Source organism: Homo sapiens, chromosome 2 (assembly GCF_000001405.40).
Source record: "Homo sapiens chromosome 2, GRCh38.p14 Primary Assembly".
NCBI lineage: Eukaryota > Metazoa > Chordata > Mammalia > Primates > Hominidae > Homo > Homo sapiens.
In genome coordinates this window covers 227,796,796-227,820,341 of record NC_000002.12, presented here as the reverse complement: position 1 = coordinate 227,820,341, position 23,546 = coordinate 227,796,796, and the positions used below count along the sequence as shown (strand labels likewise).

At 40.1% G+C, this 23,546-nt stretch overlaps 1 protein-coding gene and 1 pseudogene across 2 annotated transcripts, besides 1 other annotated feature; both read right to left on the bottom strand.

Moving 5' to 3' along the window:
* Positions 1,364-2,563: an enhancer, noted in NCBI's record as "BRD4-independent group 4 enhancer chr2:228682495-228683694 (GRCh37/hg19 assembly coordinates)". NCBI's record gives its function as "activates an origin of replication core promoter dependent on BRD2, P300/CBP, MED14 and CDK7 cofactors, and independent of BRD4, by STARR-seq in HCT116 cells {active_cell/tissue: HCT116}" and the evidence as "EXISTENCE:reporter gene assay evidence [ECO:0000049][PMID:35650434]".
* CCL20 (C-C motif chemokine ligand 20) lies at positions 2,786-6,500 on the bottom strand. Of its 2 annotated transcripts, none has more exons than NM_004591.3 (4): positions 6,355-6,500; positions 4,774-4,888; positions 3,958-4,035; positions 2,786-3,280 (listed from the first exon to the last, which is right to left on the bottom strand). In NM_004591.3, exons 1-4 carry the CDS (start codon positions 6,428-6,430, stop codon positions 3,259-3,261), a joined length of 291 nt encoding a protein of 96 aa, NP_004582.1. In that variant the 5' UTR covers positions 6,431-6,500; the 3' UTR covers positions 2,786-3,258. The 2 variants fall into 2 exon arrangements, with proteins under 2 accessions (NP_004582.1, NP_001123518.1); NM_001130046.2 differs by having other exon boundaries at positions 4,774-4,885.
* Positions 15,668-17,888, bottom strand: LOC100533842 (ATP binding cassette subfamily G member 2 (JR blood group) pseudogene; annotated as a pseudogene).

The window sequence follows — 23,546 nt, the reverse complement described above, 5'->3', positions numbered from 1 at the left end:
AACCAAAAAGTAAATGCTGGATAGTTCCATATATATGAAATCAAGAAAAGGCAAATTAATCTATTGTGAAACAGATCAGAACAGCTGCTACCCCTGGGTTCTACAAATGGAGGGGAACATGAGAGCTCCTTCCCCTGCTGTGTTGAAAACATTTACTGTCTTGAAGGAGGCAGGGTTGTTTCACAGGTAGGTGCATATGCAAAAATTTATTAAGCTGCACAATTAGGATTTGTGTATCTGGGCCAGGTGAGGGGGCTCACACCTGTAGTGCCAACACTTTGGGAGGCCGAGTTGGGCAGATCATGAGGTCAGGAGTTCGAGACCGGCCTGACCAACATGGAGAAACCCTGTCTCTACTAAAAATACAAAAGTTAGCCAGGTGTGGTGGTGGACGCCTGTAATCCCAGCTACTCAGGAAGCTGAGGCAGGAGAATTGCTTAAACCCAGGAGGCAGAAGGTGCAGTGCAGTGAGCCGAGATCATGCCACTGCACTTCAGCCGGGGTGACAGAGCAAGACTCCATCTCAAAAAAAAAAAAAAAAAAAAAAAAAAAGATTTGTGTATCTTACTGCATATAAATTATACTTCAATTAAAAAGTAAATAGGCTTTTTTTCCAAAATGAAAAAAAAAAAAGAGAGAGAGAGAGAGCTGTGAATTGGGAGTGGCATCCCTAATCTAAGATCATATTTAATCCAGTGAAAACTAGAGCATTAAATATTCAAATTACATAGCTGAGGCCCTGCTCTCTGATCCCAGCCTTAACAAACCAGCTTTGTGATTCCAATTTGACTGCTCAGGTAGCTTGCTTCCCTAATCTAGCCATGTGCTTGTGTCCGCATACTTGACGCTTGGATGCTTTCGTTGTTGATTAATAAATTGGCATTCCAGCCTGGAGATTTCAGTCTTCAGAAACTCACTTAATACTTATTAGTAGTCCTGGCCTCAAAAGATTCAGACAGCTTCAGAGTGCTAACAAAATTTTCTCCTTTCCTGACTCTACAAGCCTTACCTGCTGAGGCCTTCCAGCAATGAGACAAATCTGCTGCCCCCTGAAAATGCCTTGCTTTGACTGTGCTGTTCCAACAGTGACTGATGGGGAGGAGAGAAGGGGTGTCTGGGATAAGTCCCAGGCTTCACAATCCCACCTCTTCTGCCTTTTTTTTTTTTTTTTTTTTTTTGCCGTGGCTGTGACTGAAGTTCACCATTTCTCAGCCTCCTCATTGCAGCTGTCTCTGGTACCTCTGCTTTCCATCCACCCCACCTCCCTTTCCTCTGCCGTGCAGAGACAACATGTATTTTGACCTTTACAGTGGTTTCCCAAGGGCTCCATGGTCAAGCCCAAACCACCACACGTAGTTGAGATAACAGTTTAACTTAATCTGCAGCTACTCCACCCCTGCCCCACTTGCATATACTCCTCTTCATCCGGTATTGCTCAAGGGTGGCGCGATTGGCGTTTGGGGTGGGACAATTCTTCATTGTGCAGAACCATCCGTTGCATTCTAGTGAGTTTAGCAACCCTGGCTCCTACCCTCTGAATGCTTGTTGTACTCACCCTCAGACATTGTGACAACTACACATGCCCGCAGATATTTCCAAACACTTCCTGCTGTCCCTTTTCCAACTAGCTACTTCCTACTGATTCTTCATACCACAAGTATTGGGCTGAATCTTGTGAAATTGTCATCTTCTCAGGTCAATGACATCAAATATTGGCTACTTAATGTGATTCAACTGCATAGTACTTCTTCTGGAAGCCCTCACGAATGATGCCCAATGATTTCATTATTAAAGTGCTTACCACCAAGTGTTGTAAGAGCTGCTTTACTCATTCCTGCCTCTCGCCACATTGCTCAGCCTTAAATATCTAGCAGCAAGTTATTAAGTTTTAAGTCACTTCTTCTCTCTAGCACTTGGCACGGTGCCCAGCACATACTGAACCTATGTGTGATGATGAATCAACACACAGGATGTTGAGCATACTTTCCCTGATGATTCAATGTTGCTGTTCCTGAGGATGCAGACGCCCTTGGGGACTATTGAGCCACTTACTCTTTTTTGGCTCCACATCAAGTGACCCACCACTGCCCTACTTTATGGGTTTATGTGTCTTGATTTTGCATCATATCATCAGCATGCCTGCCTCCAGTGATCCTGTGTGTCCTTTGGAATCCGAGGCACTCTGTGAACCTTGATGCATGAATGTAGTGATAGTAACTACTGGTTCAGAGTCTTTTCATCCTGATTGCTGGGCTCTTACCAGGTTTCACACGTCTGGGGGCTCCCCGCTGGTTAGCAAGGCAGCCACTAAGAACTCTCTGAATAGTCATTTTCCTTTCGGAAACTGCTTAAAGATGACTCGGGAGGACTTTTAAATGGAGAAATGTTCGTATGCTGAGATCCTGGCTGGTGACAGAAGGATGGAAGAAGTGATGCCTGAAGGTATATTCTAAATGGTTGTTGTGTCCCTGTAGTCAAAAGGTGTGTGGGCATGGTTTCTTATTTTAAACAGTTTTCTTAAATCAATAAACATTGGGTTATGAATCTCAGATATAGGATCTTTTTCAACTTTTAATCTGGACGACTTTGAATTAAAGAAAAAAAAGAACAACTGTTCCATTATAATTCATGTAAAATCAAGTCCAGGGCCATGAGGGGCCGAGATAAAGGGAACAACTAGAAGTAAGTGGAGGATATAATTTCTCAGAAAATTCTTATATTTTCTGTGCCTGGAAATGGTTTCAATACACATCATAAAAATGATATAAAACTCAATCAACAGAAGAACTTTTTGTTTCTTTATTTTCAATATTTGTCTTATTAATATTTTTCTTATTTTATAATGCAATTACAACAATTTAGGAGACAAAACAATATAAACAAAAGAATGTTAAATAGTTTTTTTTAAAAAATAGCTTGTTGCTTGCAAGAAAGTCCATATAATCTTATTCCCCCCCAAATATAATTTTATACTTTGCACTAAACCAAAATAGCTTATGGAAAATTAGTATTAAATAGCTAAACACAGAAAACCTACAGCTATAAATAACATAAAATACAGTTTAACTTTAATGTGATGCTTAAACAAAGCAAACTATGATGCAATATGAATCAACTTCATTAATTGGACAAGTCCAGTGAGGCACAAATTAGATAAGCACTAAACCCTCCATGATGTGCAAGTGAAACCTCCAACCCCAGCAAGGTTCTTTCTGTTCTTGGGCTATGTCCAATTCCATTCCAGAAAAGCCACAGTTTTTACATGTTCTTGACTTTTTTACTGTAAAATGAAAAAGAAGAAAAGTGTAAGTAATGACAAGGTGACTGCATGGTGGGAATGACTTTGGTACCTAAAGGTTGCTTCACCTGCCCTTAATCTCAACTCAGTATGTCAAGCAGCTCAGAGTTCAGATGAGGAAATTGAGGTTTAGAGAGGATGGCCCTTGCCCAACCTAACTCAGCTCATTAATGACAGAAACAGGCTATGGACACTTATCTTGTGTCTCCAAGTTCAGTATCTATGGCATGCTGGTGTTAGGTGCCTTCTGTCCATTGATAAAGTGTTACTGTCTATTATTGTCAACGTAAATCAGAACCATTGATCTCTGTTTAACTAATGTTCATTTTTCAGTTTTTAACAAACAACCAAATGCCAGATTGCCTTTAAATTATATAAATAGTAGGCATCTTTGCAACAAGAATCAGGCAGCTAGTAACTATCAAATGCATAGAGAAATCTAATACATCATGTAAGAAATCACTAAATTAAAATAATAATAACGATGATGATCTGTAAGTGGAAAAATGCATTCTTTGTTTTTGTGGTCCAACTCAAATTTTCCCTTTAAAAATTCCACAATAGTTAAACTAAAGAATCCCAGAAAACCTACGGCCCACCCCTTTGCACACTCCTCTTTCCTCAAACATTTGCAAAGGCTAAATGTCAGTGTAACATACCTGAGGAGACGCACAATATATTTCACCCAAGTCTGTTTTGGATTTGCGCACACAGACAACTTTTTCTTTGTGTGAAAGCTGAAAAATCAGAAAATTTGATTTGTGTTTAATGAGCTTTTCAATGGGTTTTTCATAGAACATACAATGGAAATTTTATATTCCAGTTGATTACACACTAAACATTTCAGTTGATGAGGTAAAATAAAATGCACAAAAAATGCTTCTGATGAAGATTAATGCAAAATCAAAGTGATTCTCTCTTTCTCTGCAATGTAACAAATAATAGTACAATGGCAGGAAGATAAAGTCCCAGAATTGTCATATAATTTTGCTATTGGTGGTTACATAGAATATGTATGTATCTGATCAATAACTTGTATAATTCCAAAATATAATATCCTATATAAATCAAGAAAATTATATGTGATAGTATAATTAGTCTGAGATTTTACTTTTGGTCTCAAACACTTTCTGGTAGAAGATGCTCATTTCGAAATGTGTATCTTCCCTATTTTCCTAATATATCACTTTAATAGCCTTAGAAAGTGATTTTTGCCCTATACTAGTTCCGTTTGACCAAAAAAAATTTTTAAAAAAGGTTTTGCCTTATTCCAGTCCTGTTTAAAGTGAACTTTAAAGTAGATATGTACTAAGACAAAGCTATCTTTGCCACATCATTTCTTTCTCTTTAAAATAAGATCTTATGTTCAAAACATCAGTAATTTCTGAATGAAACTCTAAAAAGGCAAACATTTTTAAAACTGAAGTTTCTAGGTATTCCTGATACAACTGAATTAAAATCAATTAATAACTTACATGATAGCATTGATGTCACAGCCTTCATTGGCCAGCTGCCGTGTGAAGCCCACAATAAATTTAGGATGAAGAATACGGTCTGTGTATCCAAGACAGCAGTCAAAGTTGCTTGCTGCTAAAAAAAAAAAAAAGTGAAAGGTATTGGATCCACATGAATAAACTTATCCTGTGATTGGTATTATAAAACTACCTTAAGTTGTGAAAAATCTAGTGAATCTCATGTATATGACGAATAAACCACTTAGAGGAGGAGTTTCAATGTCTTGGAAACCTTTGTAAGGTCGTTGAGAACCAATCTAACATAGTTTACAGTTCTTTGAAAAAACAGTTTGTGTGCCGAGAAGTTTTGGTTCAATAATAGAATTGAGAAACACAGGACTTCTCATAAGTGGGATATCTTCAGTAAGAAATACAAATTGACAATATTTCATTTCAGTTCACTATAATCATTCAAGAATATGAGCAGCCCCTTCCCTACTGCTTGAAGGAACCCTTATGTAGATAAACTTCCAAAAGCAGAAAATGAATAAATTGGCAGATTTTAATCTATTATCTGGCTACTAAGTATTGAGAAATAGAGCTACAAAGGGAAATATGATTTATAGGAGTGAAAACACTTTGAAATTGTCCTATTAATTAATAGGAATGTTTAATTTTGTTCATAAAAGTTCAACATGTGGTTGGGCATGGTGGCTCATGCCTGTAATCCCAGCACTTTGGGAGGCCAAGGAGGAAGGATTGCTTGCCTCCAGGAGTTCGAGACCAGCCTGGGCAACACAGTGAAACCCTGTCTCTACAAAAAAAAAAAAAATGTAAAAAAATTAGCCAGGTGAGTGGCACACGGCCGTGGTCCCTGTTATTCAAGAGGCTGAGACTGGAGGTTCACTTGACTCCAGGAGGTTGAGGCTGTAGTGAGCTGTAATCATGCCACTGCACTCTGGCCTGGGTGATGAAGTTAGACCCTGCCTCAGAAAAAAAAAAAAATTCAATGTGCATTTTTAGGAATGCACCTGTTGCTAAAAGTGTTGTGTGACTATTGAGCAATAAAGCAATACTTGGACATTCCCGAGTCAGATTACAACATGCTGTAAGGTAAGGGATTAATGTTATTTTAAAGTTGGCAAGCAATGTCCCCCATGCCTTGTGGGGATGTTGATGTCAGGTATTATAATCTACTTCTAAAGGATGAGTTTTGAACTTTACCAAAACTATTAAGTTGGGAGGTACGAAAGTTGGGGACACAGGAGGATTCTCTACATTTCAAAATGGCCCCATCTACTGGTAACATTACACACTTTATATCACTCCCAGAAACATCACTTTGGCTTTATCCTGAAGTTTAGGGATCTCTAAGAGCCCACCACTCCCCAAATCTGCTGAGATTGACAGCAGAGAGGAAAGCCTGATCCGCAGCAGTAACTCTTCTCTCCTCCACTCCACCATGGGCAGACAACTTCCATCACTACCTCTTGTATACTTCCTAACAGTTTTCCATCCCTTAGGGACCCCCAGTTGAGCTCAAGGCTAAAAGGAAAATGAAAATAGTCTTTCTTCTGTGCTAGCGGAAAGAGCGACACTTACCTTCTGATTCGCCGCAGAGGTGGAGTAGCAGCACTGACATCAAAGCAGCCAGGAGCAAACTCTTGGTACAGCACATGGTTTTTAGCTCAAAGAACAGATCTGCTCAGTGTTGAGTACCCAGTTCTTTGGGAGTGCTGTTATATTCTGACAGCAGCCTGGGATGGCCCTATTTATAGCAAATATTGGGAATGTACACAGAAGGCGTGTTGCCACATGGGGTTTTCCCCATTGATCAACTGGCCCCATCATGTCATCATAAAAAAAACCCGCAAGGAAAACTTCCTGCTTTTTCCTCATATTGGGAAGGTGCGAAGGTCAGGGTGGGGGACAGGAAGTTGAGAAGGGGAGAATCCTGTTAAATTCTTTGTATTTGCAAAGAGCAAAAGCAGCTCAGCCCTGTGACCCAGAAAAGACTTTCATCCAGTTTTAACTTAATCATTTTTGTGTCTGAAAATAGAGGATTAACAGCGATACAAAGGTCAGCCCCACACAGGAACATTCCAGAACTCCTATTGTTACACCCTATTTGCTTTCCAGAACCAGTCAAGGAGGAGGGGGAGGAGGAGCAGGTGGGATGCCAGGCATACTCTGCTACACATTTACCATCACATGGTTGAGGTTCAGCTGTCATGAAGAAGACCCTGAGTTGCTAGACTAACATTCAGAGCAGGTACTATAACAGTGCTACAGTACTGTCCGCAGTTAGAGTGGAAAATATCAGCCTTTAAGTAAGGCTCAAACCTCAGCTTCACCTTGATTTAATGTCAACTCTTCTAAGAATCTTATACATTCACATGGCTTTAATCAATATTGCAGTTCAGAAAATAATCCTTACCTACCTTTAACTCTCCATGATGATGTACTAATATAACTCAATATAGAGCCTCAGAATTGTTGAGGAAAGAAAACCTATCAGCAGTAGCTAGTCAGCACAGCAAATGTCAAATAACAGTACTAATGATGATAATGTAATATGAATCCCTAACCTAAGGCAGTATAAGAACTCTCCACTAGACCCAAATAGGTTGAAAGTAAAAGGATCAAAAGAAAGGTATACCAAACAGTAAACAAAAGAGAACTGGAGTTGGTGATGCCTATATCAGACAAAATAGATTTTTTTTTAATGTTACCGGAAATAAAAAGGGACTTTCATGGTAACACAAAATTAACCCATTGGGAAGATGTAAAACCTATAACCATATATATACCTAACAGTAGCACCCCAAACTACAGAAAGCAAAAACTGACAGAATTGAAGGGAAGAATAGGAAATTTTATTTTATTTTATTATTATAATTTCTTTTGAGACAGAATTTTGCTCTTGTTGCCCAGGCTGGAGTGCAGTGGCACCATCTCGGCTCACTACAACCTCCGCCTCCTGGGTTCAAGCGATTCGCCTGCCTCAGCCTCCTGAGTAGCTGGGACTACAGGCACGTGCCACCACGCCCAGCGAATTTTTGTATTTTTAGTAGAGACGTGGTTTCACCATGTTGCCCAGGCTGAACTCCTGACCTCATTACAGGCATGAGCCACCGTGCCCAGCAGAATAGGAAATTTAACAATAAAAGTTGACAGCTTTGGTACCACATTTTCACTAATTAATAAAATTTAGGCAGAAGATCCACAAGAAAATAGAAGACTTGAACAACACTATAAGCCAAATAGACTTAGCAGGCATCGAAGGACTACTCTATCCAACATCAACAGAATAGTTGCACATGGAATGTTCTCTAGGATAAAGCATATGGTAGGTTATGGAACAAGTCTCAGTAAATGTAAACCGACTGAAATCACATAAAGTATACATTCAAACCACAATGGAATTAAATCAGAAATCAGTAACAGACAGAAAGGAAACCACATATTCCTAAATAACCAATGTGTCTGGCCAGGAGTGGTGGCTCATGCCTGTAATCCTAGCATTTTGGGAGGCCGAGGTGGGTGGACTGCCTGAGGTCAGGAGTTCGAGACCAGACTGGCCAACATAGTGAAACCCTGTCTCTACTAAAAATACAAATATTAGCCGGGTGTGGTAGTCCATGCCTGTAATCCCAGCTACTTGGGAGGCTGAGGCAGGAGAATCGCATGAGCCCAGGAAGCAGAAGTTACGGCGAGCCGAGATCACGCTACTGCCCTCTAACCTGGCCAACAGAGACTCCATCTCAAAGGAAAAAACAACAACAACAACAACAATGTGTCAAAAGAAAAGTCACTAGAGAAAGTAGAAAACAACTTTGAAATGTAAAAAAAAGTCCACAACATATCAAAACTTATAGGATGTAGCAAAAGCAGTCCTCAGAAGGAAACTTATAGCTGTAAACACTCACATTAAAAAAAAAAAAAAAGAAACATCTCAAAACAATAACCCAAACTTCTACCTTAAGAAACTAGAGAAAAGCAGAGCAAGCTAAACCCAAAGCATGCAGAAGGAGGGAAATGAAGATTAGAGCAGGAATAAATAAAACAGAGAATGCAAAACAATAGAGGAAATCAACGAATGCGAAAGTTAGTTCTTTGAGAAGATCAACAAAACTAACAAGCCTTGACTAGACCAAACCAAACAAAGGAAAGGGAGGTAAAAAAAAAAAAAAAAAAAAAAAAACTGTATGCAAATAAAATTACTATGCCGACAGCACAGTAAAAAGATCATACACCATAACCAAGTGGGATTTATTCCAGGAAATGTAATACAACAAATCAATCAAATAAAAAATAAAAATGATTTGAAAAGCAACTGACAAAATCCAACACGTTGTCATGACAAAAACACTCAACTAACTAGGAATAGTTGAGAACTTTCTCAACCTGATAAAAGTCATCTATGACCACCTCACAGCTGATACGAATAGAGATGAAAGACACAAATTATTGACCCTGATTCAAGAAGAAAATAGAAAATTTGGGATGGGCGTGGTGGCTCATGCCTGTAATCCCAGCACTTTGGGAGGCCAAGGCGGAAGGAGCACAAGGTCAGGAGATCGAGACCATCCTGGCTAACATGGTGAAACCCTGTCTCTACTAAAAATGCAAAAAATTAGCCTGGTGTGGTAGCGGGCACCTGTGATCCCAGCTACTAGGGAGGCTGAGGCAGGAGAATGGCGTGAACCCGGGAGGTAGAGGTTGCAGTGAACCAAGATCGTGTCATTGTACTCCAGCCTGGGCGACACAGCAAGACTCCATCTCAAAAAAAAAATAGAAAATTTGAATAGAGCTATAACAAGTAAAGATATCAAATTGATAACCAAATATTTTTCACAAATAAAACCTCAGGACCAGATTAATTCACTGGTTAATTCTACAAAACATTCAAATAAGAATTAATACCAGTTCTTCACAAACTTTTTCAAAGTATAGAAGAGAAGGGAACCCTCTTCAACTTCTTCTATGAGGACAGTATTATCCTGACACCAAAATAAGATAAACACATCACAAGAAAAGAAAACAACAGACCAATGTCCTTTCCGAATACAAACACAAAAACAAAACAACATAGTAAAAGGACCATACACCATAACAAGTGGGATTTATTCCAGGAAATGTAATACTACAAATTAATTGAATAAAAATAAAAACTATATGAAAAGTAACTAACAAAATCCAGCACCTTCTCATGACAAAACACTCAACAAACTAGGAATAGCAGAGAACATCTCAACCTGATAAAGGTCATCTATGACTGCCTCATAGCTGATAGCACACTCAATGTTGAAAGACTTACTGCCTTTTCCCTGAGATCAAGGACAAGACAAGGATGTTCAGTCTCACCGCTTCTATTCAACACAATTTCTTTTCTTTTCCTCTCTCTCTCTCTCTTTTTTGAGATGGAGTTTCACTCTTGTTGCCCGGGCTGGAGTGCAATGGCGCAATCTCGGCTCACTGCAACCTCTGCCTCCCAGGTTCAGCCAATTCTCCTGCCTCAGCCTCCCAAGTAGTTGGAACTACAATCATGCACCATCACACCTTGCTAATTTTGTATTTTTAGTAGAGACAGGGTGTCGCCATGTTGGCCAGTCTGGTCTTGAACTCCTGACCTCAGGTGCTCCGCCCACCTCAGACTCCTAAAGTGTTGAGATTACAGGTGTGAGCCACCATGCCCGGCCTATTTAACACAATTTCTATTAAAATCCTGGCTGGCTTCTTTGTAGAAATGGAAAAGCCAATACTCAAATTCATGTGAAATTGCAAGGGACCTTGAATTGATAAAACAATCCCAAAAAGGAAGAATAAAGTTGGAAGACTCACACTTTCTGATTTCAAAATTTACTAAAAAATCACACTAAATCAAGACATGTGAAAATTGCATGAGTGTTCACATCAATGGCATACAATTGAGAAATAAGCCCCCATGTCTATGGTCAACTGATTTTGTGTTAGGGTGGCAAGACCATTCAATGGGGGAAGAACAGTCTTTTCAACAAATAGTGCTGGAACTACTGGATATTCACAGCAAAAGAATAAAGTTAGACCATTACTTCACACTATATATAAAAATTAATTCAAAATGGATCATAGATCTCAATGTAAGAGTTAAAAACATGAAATTCTTAGAAGAAAACATAGGAGAAAATCTTCATGACCTTGGGTTGGGCAATGACTTGTTAGATACAACACCAAAAGCTCAAACAATAAAATTAAAAATTAACGAACTGGACCAAATCAAAACTAAACATTTTTATGCTTCAAAGGACACTATAAAGAATGTGAAAAGAAAACGCATAGAAAGGAAAGGAAAAATTTGCAAGTCATATATATGATAAGGGACATTTACTTGTATAGAGAATATATAAAGAACTCTTACAACTCAATAAGAAGAAGATGAGTGACCCAATTAAAAAATGAGGAAAACAGCTGAATAGACATTTCTCCTAAGAAGATAAATAAATGTCCAACAAGCACATAAAAAGATGCTCAAAATTTTTAGTAAGTAGGAAAATGCAAATCAAAACCACCATGACATACCACTTCACATCCACTAGGATAGCTATAACCAAAAAGACAAATAATAAGTGTTGGCAATGATGTAGAGAAATTGGAATCCTTATATGTTGTTGATGGAAATAAAAAAATGGTGCAGTCATTTTGGAAGACACTTTGACAATTCCTCAAATAGTTAATTAGAGAGTTACCATGTGACCCAGCAATTCTACTCCCAGGTTTACACCCAACAGAAATGAAAATATATGTCCACACAAAAATGTGTACGTGAATGTTTGTAGCAGCATTATTCATAATAGCCAAAAAAGTAGAAGCAGCCCAAAAGTTATAAACTGATATATAAATAAATTAAACCTGGCAAATCAATACAACGAAATATTATTCAGCAATAAGATACTGATAGAAACTACAAAATGAAGCTGGGCATGGTGGCTCACACCTGTAATCCCAGCACTTTGGGAGGCCAAGGAAGACGGATCACTTGAGGTCAGGAGTTTGAGACCAGCCTGGCCAACATGACAGAACCCCATCTCTACTAAAAATACAAAAATTAGCCAGGAGTGGTGGCTTGCACCTGTAATCTCAGCTACTTGGGAAGCTGAGGCAGGAGAATTGCTTGAACCTGGGAGGTGAAGGTTGCAGTGAGCCAAGATCGTGCCACTGTACTCCAGCCTGGGTGACAGAGTGGGACTCTTTCTCCAAAAGAAAAAAGAAACTACAAAACGGATGAACCTTGAAAACACTATGCTAAGTGGAAAAGCCAAGCACAAAAGACCACATATTGTCTGATTCCATTTACATAAAATGTTCAGAAATGGTGAATCTATGGAGAGGAGAAGTAGAATAGTGACTGCCTAGGGCTGGGTTGTGGTGTCCAGGGAAGGGAAGGGGATTGGGGAGTGACTGCTAAGGGGTATGTGGTTTGTTTTTTATTTTTTATTTATAAATACATATGGTTGATGGTTGCACAACCCTATAAATATACTAAAAACACACTGAATTGTTTACATAAAAAGGGTCATTTTATGGTAGGTCAATTATATCTCAATAAAGCTGATAACAAAACAAAACAAAAAAGGAACTCTCCATGTACCTACATCTTAACACGCACCCCAGCCCATGGATGCTTTTTCTTTCTTTACGACTACTCTTGGTTCCCTATAGTCTGTGTTCATTTCTCCTTCCTCCATTCCTGTTGTCTCTTCTCCTCCCTCTCTCTCATGTCTTAATCACAGATCTCTTTTCTTCTCCATTTAATAGCCATAAATAAACTATTTTTAGTATCTTTATATTGACTAGAATTGCATTTCCTTGTGCTTATTTTGATCGATGTACCATTTCATATTTGTCCCTTTAAAACTTTCTAAAATGTGGGTGGGTGCGGTGGCTCATGCCTCTAATCCCAGCACTTTGGCAGGTCGAGGCAGGCGGATCCCTAGAGCTCAAGAGTTTGAGACCAGCCTGGGCAACATGGCAAAACCCTTTCTCTACAAAAATTAGCCAGGCCTGGTGGCACACGCCTTTTGTTTCTGGCTACTTGGGAGGCTGAAGTGGGAGGACTGCTCTAGCTTGGGAGATAGAGGTTGCAGTGAGCCATGATAACACCACTGAACTCTAGTCTGGGTGGCAGAGTGAAACCCCATCTCAAAAAATAATAATAATAATTTTTTAAAAAACTTTCTAAAATGTGACTTAAATTGTTTGGGAGGTTTTTTGGTCAGTCAATAAATGTGTTAAATGAGATTAACATTACAAAATTATTTCAAACCTAATTTATTAGAATGCTATTTATTGCACTGGAATTTATTATTCAGCGATTCTTTTGAAATATCTCAGATACATCCTAATGAGTACTAATTCCTGCGTGTAGCAGAGTCACAGTGTCTTAGACTTTTTTTTTTTTCAGAAAAGATATGACAAGGGTCTTATGTGGAAGCTACTTAATACTAGAACATAGTATCTTTTTTTTTTTTTTTTTTTTGAGACGGAGTCTTGCTCTGTCGCCTAGGCTGGAATGCAGTGGTGCGATCTCAGCTTATTGCAACTTCCTCCCAGGTTCAAGCGATTCTCCTGTCTCAGCCTCCTGAGTAGCTGGGATTACAGGCGCCTGCCACCATGCCTGGCTAATTTTTGTATTTTTAGTAGAGACGAGGTTTCACCATGTTGGCCAGGCTGGTCTTGAACTCCTAAACTCAAGCTATCCACCCGTCTTGGCCTCCCAAAGTGCTGGGATTACAGGCATGAGCCACCACACCTGGCCGAGAACATGATATCTTAATTCAAGTGAAATTATAGTTAAAACACACACAAATATCTGTAAAACAAAGCAGTACGGGGTACAGGCCGTATTCATTTTACATAAATCATTATCATAGAAATAATTACAATTATATGTAAACACAGTCTTATTGTGGAAGCATGAAAACTGTTTTTTATAATTAATGGTAAAGCTCATGTTTCTCCACTAAAAATACAACATTTACCGGGTGTGGTGGCGCATGCCTATAATCCCAGCTACTAGGGAGGCTGAGGCAGGAGAATCACTTGAACCTGGGAGGCAGAGGTTGCGGTGAGCCGAGATCATGCCATTGCACTCCAGCCTGGGCAACAAGAGCGAATCTGTCTTGAAAAAAAAAAAAAAAAAAAGAGGAAAAGAAAGAAAGATGAAGACACTGAAGCCAGAGAGACATTGGACTTTGCCAGTGTCAAACTATAAAGACTGAAGCTGGAAATAGAAATCAGACCCCCCTTCCCTAGGTCAATATAATCTTCCTCATTTCCTCCTCAAAGTTGATATCAATTATCAAATGGATCATAGTACATACCATTAGCCCACACTTTAGTTTCTTTCAGACAGTAATAGAAGCCATAGTAAGGAAGGAGACCACTATTACTCCTGCTGCCCTCTTTTCCTCACCTTGCCTAGTTCACAAGACAGGAGGAAAGTGAGAAAGCAAAAAGTGGGAAAGAAACAGAAGTAAGATAAATAGCCAGACAACCTTGGCACCACCACCCGGCCCTAGGAGTTAAAAAAAAAAGTAATAATAATGACATCAACTCCTGACCTAAACTACTTGTGTTACCTGTAAATTCCAGGCACTGTATGAAAAAGCATTGCAAAACTTCCTGTTCAGTTAGCTGATGAATGTAGCCCCCAGTCACGTTCCCCGCGCTTGCTCGATTTATCACGACCCTTTCACGTGGTCCCCTTAAAGTTGTAAGCCTTTAAAAAGGCCAAGAATTTCTTTTTCGGGGAGCTCGGCTCTTAAAGACGCGAGTCTGCTGACGCTCCGGGCCGAATAAACCACTTCCTTCTTTAATCCGGTGTCTGAGGAGTTTCGTCTGTGGCTCATCCTGCTACAATAGTTTCCATACAGGCTTCATCATATACTGAGGTATTACAGAGCTTCACTAAAAAAAAAGAATAAACCACAACTTTAATGGAGGCTAGCACCACTACAAATTCCACAGTGACTCCTTAAAACAAATCAAGCATCTTGTTTCTCAGCATCTTAGCTTGGGTTCCCTTGAAAGTAGAGCCTCAGATGCAGATAATTTATTTGTGAGTTACTCTCAGAAGCCAGGAACAGGCGGGCAAATGGAGGGAGGAAAGGTTTGGAAGGTCATTCGTGGGCAATGGGAAATTGATTCCACTAGAACCTCCTGAGAAAGAAGCAAATGTCTTCCAGAATTCTCCACTTGAAGGAGAAGAGAGATTATTCATCAGCTGGCTCACATTTCTCATTCGTTGAAGATGGTCCCCAGGACACTGATCCTTCTCTATTTTTAAGCTGTGCTTAGAGGAGGGGAGAGGCCCAACATCCCCTCAGTTCAGAGAATGCCCCAGAGCAGAAAGCAGGCAGAGCAGGCTTCAGTGAGTCATCGTCAGTGCCAGGTGGTCTGAGCTCACTGGAAACTGTACACTACAGCTGGGGCTGAAATTGAAGAGGGGATTGAAAGCATGGTATATGGGGTTCCAGAGATATCTGCTACACACAGCGTATGAATGCTTAATTTTAGGTAGGTGTATTTGTCTGCTCTCATACTGCTAATAAAGACATACCCGAGACTGGGTAATGTATAAAGGAAAGTGGTTTAGTGGACTGACAGTTCCACGTAGCTAGGGAGGCCTCACAATCATGGCAGAAGGCAAAGGAAAAGCAAAGGCACGTCTTACGTGGAGGCAGGCAAGAGAGCGTGTGCAGGAGAACTCCCCTTTATAAAACCACTAGATTTCATGAGACTTATTCACTATCATGAGAGAGACCGACCCCCATGATTCAATTACCTCCAAGCAGTTCCCTCCCACAACACGTGGGAATTATGGGAGCTACAATTCAAGATGAGATTTGGGTGGGGGAACAGCCAAACCATATTAGTAGGCAATTAAGAAAATCACCATCACACATGCCAAGGCCAGATGACTCCTTCATAGACCCCAAGAGGACAACTCAATTCTTTGGTTTTGTAAAAAGTCTTCCCCAGAACACATGGCATATCCACAGGCCTTGGTTTTGTGTGTGTGTAGCCCATGTATTCCGAGTCTAAAGCTTTGGTCCATAAAGTCATTATGTTGCAAGCCTCTATGGTTGTATTGAGGAATGCTTATATACTGGATCCAGGAAAACCAAGGCCTACTGGTTCTGAGATTCACGCAGAGGGCTGAAATAATTTTCATCAGCTAAAGGGAAAGTCAAGAGAAGGGTAGCCCAAGGGGGTCACTCTGACCTGCAGCGAGAGCCAGAGCCAAGGCACTGGAGGTCAGTGCAAGCCTTACGAGTGAGACATCTTTTTTTTTTTTTTTTTTTTTTGAGATAGAGTCTTGCTCTGTCGCCCAGGCTGGAGAGCAGTGGCGCAATCTTGGCTCACTGCAAGCTCCGTCTCCCAGGTTCACGCCATTCTCCTGCCTCAGTCTTCCAGGTAGCTGGGACTGCAGGCGCCCGCCACCATGCCTGGCTAATTTTTTGTATTTTTAGTAGAGACGGGGTTTCACCATGTTAGCCAGGATGGTCTCGATCTCCTGACCTCGTGATCCGCCTGCCTTGCCTCCCAAAGTGCTGGGGTTATAGGCGTGAGCCATCTCGCCCGGCCGGGAGGCATCTTAAAAAAGAAAGATGCCGCCGGACGCAGTGGCTCACGCCTGTAATCCCAATACTTTGGGAGGCAAGGCAGGTGGATCACGAGGTCAGGAGATCGAGACCATCCTGGCTAACATGGTGAAACCCCATTTCTACTAAAAATACAAAAAATTAGCCGGGCGTGGTGGAGGGCGCCTGTAGTCCCAGCTACTCGGGAGGCTGAGGCAGGCAAATGGCGTGAACCCGGGAGAGGGAGCTTGCAGTGAGCCAAGATCGCGCCACTGCACTCCAGCCTGGGAGACACGGAGAGACTCCATCTCAAAAAAAAAAAAAAAAGAAAGAAAGAAAGAAAGAAAGAAAGAAAGAAAGATTCCACCTTCAGCTTCGGTCTTAACATAAGATGCAATGCACTCATTATATCACACTTTATAAAATTCTCACAGGGAGTAGGTCAGATATCAGCTTTCCAAAGAAATACGATGATACTCTAAAATAGCCACTGGTAGACTCATGCACAGACTGCTTTTTTTCAAGAACCAGAAGAAATACCACTGAGACATTGTTCAGGCATTGGTTGCAGGACAAATAGAACAGGAAGCCACCTCTATTATAAATTCCTGCAGGGCTATTGTTTAAACCACAGTAAAGAACCTGGATGCCCCAGTCTGATAACTGGGGCTCTTATTTCAGGAATGGAGTCTTGATGCTCACCAAACCAATTTTTGAATAAACATTTGGACACCCACCTGAGTTGATGATCAAAGAAAGTTCACTCCTTTTTTCACCTACTGAGAGTTCATTACATTCATATTTCGTTTCCCTGTAGAAAGAACAATTGACATAAAATTCAGCTAATTCCTCTATTCATTGTTTATCCTGTTTGGGAGGCTTTTCAAGTTCCCCAGGTTTCTCACCTCCTTGCTTCCTATTTAAGGTCACAGCAGAGGAGCCTCTATTAACATGTGTGAAGAAATCAGCAGAGTTTTTATAGGATTTACACTGGTAACTCGCAGAGCAAAATATTTCAAAGTTTTTTATACAGGACCCATGGAACATCACCCTTCCAGAAGCCAGCAAGGTAAGGCTATCAAAAGGTTTGAAGATGGCCTAACAGGGCTAAGGAATGGAGAAGAGGATGGGCCTTCTCTGCCTTGTCATCTTCAGGAGAAGAAGTGCATTTGATGTGCTAACATCTAAGCCAGTGGTGGGCTTATCCAGAAACAGAACAGTTATAGCTCTCATCACCTCCATTGCAATGCTGGGCTTCTTTCTCTGTCCTCCAGACACACCCCAAATGACCTGGTTTTCTACATTGGAGTCTGCTAATTTTGCTGAAGGCCACCTCTTGAATGGTTTTGTTAATGTGTGTTTGTTTTTTTGTTTTTGTTTTTTTGTTTGTTTCTTGCCTGACTGTTTATACTTGTTGACAGCCGAAGGGCTGCTGAAAATTTTTTCCTTAACCATCGCTCCCATCGCTATACCATCTGAGACTACATAATCTGAGATACCTTTTTTGTTGTTGTTGTTGTTGAGATAGCGTCTCAATCTGTCGCCCAGGCTGGAGTGCAGTGGTGTGATCTTGGCTCACTGCAACTTCCACCTCTTGGGTGCAAGTGATCTTGTCAGCCTCCCCAGTAGCTGGGACTACAAGCACACACCACCACCCCTGGCTAATTTTTGCATTTTTAGTAGAGACGGGGTTTCACTGTATTGCCCACGCTGGTTTCGAACTCCCAGCCTCAAGCAATCCCCTGGCCTCAGCCTCTCAAAGTGTTAGGATTACAGGCATAAGCCATTGCGCCCAGTCTTGAGATACTTTTGAAGTTCCAGGTTGCAGGGTTTCATTTAGCAAAACATCTGCAGAGAGACCACAGGAATCCTTCCTTGCCTCCACCAGAGGGTCCCAGGATAGTATTAAAACCAGGTTTTATTACCCATTGACAACCTTCAATATCTCCTTCTCAACTGTTTTTTAACCAACCAGAAGCCACTCTTTACCTTCATTTAATAGTAAATACTGTGAAAACACAGGTACATCAGATAATGTCCCTAAGTTTTTGGAGGGCCCAGCAGGTAGACCATTAACACTGGTTGTTGTTGTTGTTGTTTTTAAGTGATGGGGCCTGGCTACCTTGGCCAAGTTGGTCTTCAACTCCTGGCTTCAAGCAATCCTCCCAACTCAGCCTCCTAAAGTGAGGGCATTACAGGTGTGAGCCACAGCACCCAGCCTGTCAGTGCTTGTTTTTGATCTTGGGAAAATAAAAACGTTTTTTGCAGACATGTAGAAATTGTTTTTTTCCACTGTGCTGCCATGGGATGAAATTAACTTTTCACATAGAACCCTAAATTGAATTCTGATTTATGAAACTGCTAGGGCCACTTCTTTTCTGCTATGGAAAATAATCTCTGCTTAGTCTTCAATGTTAGAACATTTACATGCATACATTCACACACAACTATACACACAAAGTACAAACTATGGTCAGGGAGGAAAAAGGACATGAACTATTATCACTCAAATAACGACTCATTTACATGAACCCTACTGTTCACTGAAGAGGAAGGATAGAAATTCACTCATTCATTCAATAAAGATCCATTGTGCACCTAATTTTTTTTTTTTTTTTTTTTTGACGGTATCTCACTCTGTCGCCCAGGCTGGAGTGCAATAGCATGACCTCCCTCACTGCAACTTCCGCCTCCCAGGTTCAAGCAATTCTCCTGCCTCAGCATCCTGAGGAACTGGGATTACAGTTGCATGCCACCACACAGGCTAATTTTTGTATTTTTAGTAGAGACGGGGTTTCACCACGTGGGCCAGGCTGGAATGCACCTAGTTTATGTTAGAGACTGTTCATGTCACGAAGAATAAAGTGCTAAGTAAAACAGTCTCTACCGTCATACAACTTAGATTATTAGTAGACGAGTGCCCATTGGTTGACGACAAAGTAACAAATCAGAGAGAGAGAGAGAGAGAAAGAAAGAGAGAATGAGAAAGAGTAGAAGAAACACACAAGAAACTAACTAATTAACATATAAGTAAGTTAATATCATGTGGTGGAAGTGTTATGAAGCCAAATTAAGCAGGATAATGGGAAGAGAGTGTCCACGGGTGTCATCTGAGATAAAGTGATCAGGAAAACCTCTCTATGGAGAAAACATCGACCAGGGACCTGTATGAAGTAAGGGATGGAGCCGTGCAGACATCTGGAGAAAGAGCATCCAAAGCGGAGAGAAAAAGGCAGGCTGCAGTGGCTCATATCTGTAATTCCAGCACTTTCGGAGGCCAAGGCTGCCGGATCACTTGAGGCCAGGAGTTCAAGACCAGCCTGGACAAAGTGGTGAAACCCCATCTCTACTAAAATTACAAAAATCAGCCAGGCGTGGTGGCGCATGCCTGTAATCCCAATCACTCAGGAGGCTGAGGCAGGAGAATTGCTTGAACCCGGGAGGTGGAGGTTGCATTGAGCCGAGATCGTGCCACTGTACTCTAGCCTGGCAACAAAGCAAGACTCCATCTCAGAAAAATAAAATAAAATAAAGTTTAAAATGACAGTCATTTTATATTAATTGGATATTGACTATGAAAGAAAAAGAAAATTAGGAATAACTCTAAATGTTTTGGCTTAAATAATAAGGGGATGGTTGTACAGTTTAATCAGGCAGAAAGCACTTAAGAAGGAGTAGATTATTGGGGGAATAATAGAATCTTGGTTTAAGGCATGTCATGTCTATAATGCCCAATAGACGTGCAAATGGAGAGATTTCTCTCCCCTACAGAAGCCTATCTCGCCTTAATTCTGAAAGTCATAGCTCAAATACAGCTGAAACTAGGCACAATTTTGAAACTAGACGCAATATTTGGTAGGAACTCAAATAAAATCATTTTAGAGACCACTCAGCCACTTTTTTAAACATTACATTATACTTCATTCAGCTAAAAATCAAACAAACTAACAAAACATGACCTTCAATGTAAGTGGGGCAAATGGTTTTGTTGACCTGTTTTTCCTTTAATATAAGTAACAGAATCTTCACCGTTAGCATCACATTGTTTATTACTTAGAAAAAGAAAGAAAGAAAAAACAATAATGAACCTTCAAGGTGAAAGTGTTTTACATAGTTCAAAACTATTTTTTGAAATCCCAGTTTTTCCAAGATATAAAAGAGTCATTGCTTAATTCCTTCCCCATGTCAAGAATGAAGTATGACATATCTACAAAAATATAAACCACAAAAAACACAGGAGACGATATGCTATCCTACAGAGAGCATACATAGATATAAAACATACAGATAGATATAAAACACAAAATTTCTCCTACACATAGGAAAGTAAGCCATGTTATTTCAAAATACTTTTGAATGCAACTTCTTCGTCTTTCTTTTATTTTGATTTTCAGGCTCAACGTATTTGTGATCAAAAAGTTTGTTGTTATTAGATAGTATAAAATAAAGCAGATCATTTCTGATTATTGCAGATTATTGCTTCCATTACTGGATAAGGAAGTGGGGACTTGGCTGCTTTTCAAGGAACCTTTCACCATGCTAAAGGCAATTCTACTTATCAATGTACATGAGGGTTCAAAGGTTTTAGTAGGAATTTCCCTTTTAACTTTTGAAGCCAGTGAGTCTTCCTTACCACTTCACGATAATTTGCATAACCAAGCCTATCAGCTTTCCATGATTGAATTGTCCTTACAGTAAAGAATCAACTCCATTGAAACAACTTTATAGGCCCACATGACTGATTTTTTAAATCTTCAAGTCTTTTAGGAAATATAAGCTTTTCAAATTTTAGTATTATCAAACCAACTTTGCCTTTCTTTGCTCAATTGGTAGTAGAATGCCTCAAGCCCTGTTGGTTCAACCAAGATCTGTGCCTTGAAATCCAGGTTGAGGGAGGAATTAAATGCTAAACAAAACATCAAGAAATTAAAACTCCCCTAAGAAACATGGTAAATACTATAGAACATACCAAAATACTCAGTGTTCATGCTGAATGTCTGTGTATGTGTGCATGGTGTCACCATGAGAAGATATCGGGGTGTACACTGTAACACAGGTACACTGATTTATTGTACTTTAAAACAGTATTGATTTAGGCTGGACACAGTGGCTCACGGGTATAATCCCAGCATTTTGGGAAGCCGAGGCAGGTGGATCATTTGAGGGATAAGAGTTCGAGACAAGCTTGGCCAACATAGTGAAACCTCATCTCTACTAAAAATACAAAAATTAGCCAGGCGTGGTGGCATGTGCCTGTTGGGAGACTGAGGCGAGAGAATCCTTTGAACGCAGGAGGCAGAGGTTGCAGTGAGCCGAGATCGCACCACTGCACTCCAGCCTGGGCAACAGAGTGAGACTCGAGACTTCGTCTCAAAAAAAAAAAAAAAAAGGAAAAAAGTATTGATTTTCTGTATTTCCAACATGTTATGTAGAATTCTCCACAATAAAATAAATTGTGCTTTTTTGTTTAAATATTCTAACGCATTCATAGCATTTTTCTTAAAGGGAAACGCTATGCTTCTTGGTTTAGAAGAATTTTTTTTATAATAATATTTCATGAAAAATGCAACAGATGCTCTTCACCAGTTTTCTTTCTTTCTTTCTTTTCTTTTTTTTTTTTTTTCTTTTTTTTGAGACAGAGTCTCACTCTGTCTCCCAGGCTGAAGTGCAGTGACATGATCTCTGCTCACTGCAACCTCCGCCCCCCGGGTTCAAGCAATTCTCCTGCCTCAGCCTCTGGAGTAGCTGGGGTTACAGACACGCACCTCCATGCCCGGCTAATTTTTTGCATTTTTCGTAGAGATGGGGTTTCACCATGTTGGCCACGCTGGTCTCGAACTCCTGACCTCAGGTGATCTGCCCACCTCGGCCTCCCAAAGTGCTGGGATTACAGACGTGAGTCACTGCGCCCGGCCTCTCTTTACCAGATTTCTAATTGATTTTAGTATGATAATTTCCTGAGATGGCAAATGGATGCCGATCTTTGATGAAAGGTTTTGGTTGAGATTCTGAGGCTAACTGCACTACATTGAGGAGAGTGGGATGACTGTTTTGAGATGGGAAGAATGATGTCATGAAGGCAGCATATTTGTAACTCTAGAATCATATCTGCTCCCAATTTTTTGTAGTGGTTTTAATGTAATGTTTGGTGTTTGGTCTTTTCCTTGCAAAGAGACTTTATCGCAAAGACAAAATGTGCATGTCAATCTAAGTACATAAATCTTCTATTGTTTTGTCTTCTCTTGAAGGTGGAAGAAAGTCTTTGAGGCACAATACAGAAAGAACAGAGTTTTAAATCTTTTTCTGTGCTTCAAAAAATATTACCATGATACATACTCTGTTGAAAAAATAAAATATATAAATAAGTTAAAAGAGGAACACAAAGATTAGTCATAGACTCACCATCTAGAGAATTACAGTGCTAATTTTTTAATAACTTCTAGACTCATTTCTGTTCATATATTTAACATAAATTGAATCTTAGAGTACATTTTATTAACCTAGCCTTTTCATTTAAGGATATGAATACAGTCATCTGTTCATCTTTTAAAAAATGACTTCCTATGCCATCATTTAAAACAGTTGTACAGTTTTCAATTGTATGGTTATTCATGGTTGAATTCCCCAGGTTGTTTCTAATTTTTCAATTATTATAAATAGTACTATGAAGAACAGTCTATGGATGAATCTTTGTACATATTCCTAATTACTTTCTTAAGATAACTTCAAGAAATGAAATGTTGGGGTCAAAAAATATGTGTATATTTAATAGTTTTGAGATTGTAGGCCAGGTGTGTGGCTCACACCTGCAATCCCAGCACTTTGGGAGGCCAAGGCAGGCAGATCACCTGAGATCAGGAGTTTGAGACCAGCGTGGCCAACATGGTGAAACACCGTCTCTACTAAAAATGCAAAAATTAGCCTGGTGTGGTGGTGTGCGCCTGGAATCCCAGCTACTAGGGAGGCTGAGGCAGGAGAATCCTTGAACTTGGGAGGCAGAGGTTGCAGTGAACCAAGATTGCACCATTGCACTTCAGCCTAGCTGACAGAGTGAGACTCCGTCTCAAAAAAAGAGAGAGATTGCAAAACAACCTTCCAGAACTCTCTGATCGAGTAAACCCATTTCCCTGCACCTTTCACAAAGATCAGATAGAGATGAATTTACTTAGG

What these genes read in the sequence shown, in the direction of transcription:
- CCL20 (NM_004591.3), bottom strand. Translation starts at nt 6,430, where the DNA reads ATGTGCTGTACCAAGAGTTTGCTCCTGGCTGCTTTGATGTCAGTGCTG. An exon ending in TGTGACATCAATGCTATCAT is followed by an intron (nt 4,036 to 4,773) that starts GTAAGTTATTAA and finishes CTGATTTTTCAG; the next exon opens with CTTTCACACAAAGAAAAAGT. An exon ending in TATATTGTGCGTCTCCTCAG is followed by an intron (nt 3,281 to 3,957) that starts GTATGTTACACT and finishes TTCATTTTACAG; the next exon opens with TAAAAAAGTCAAGAACATGT.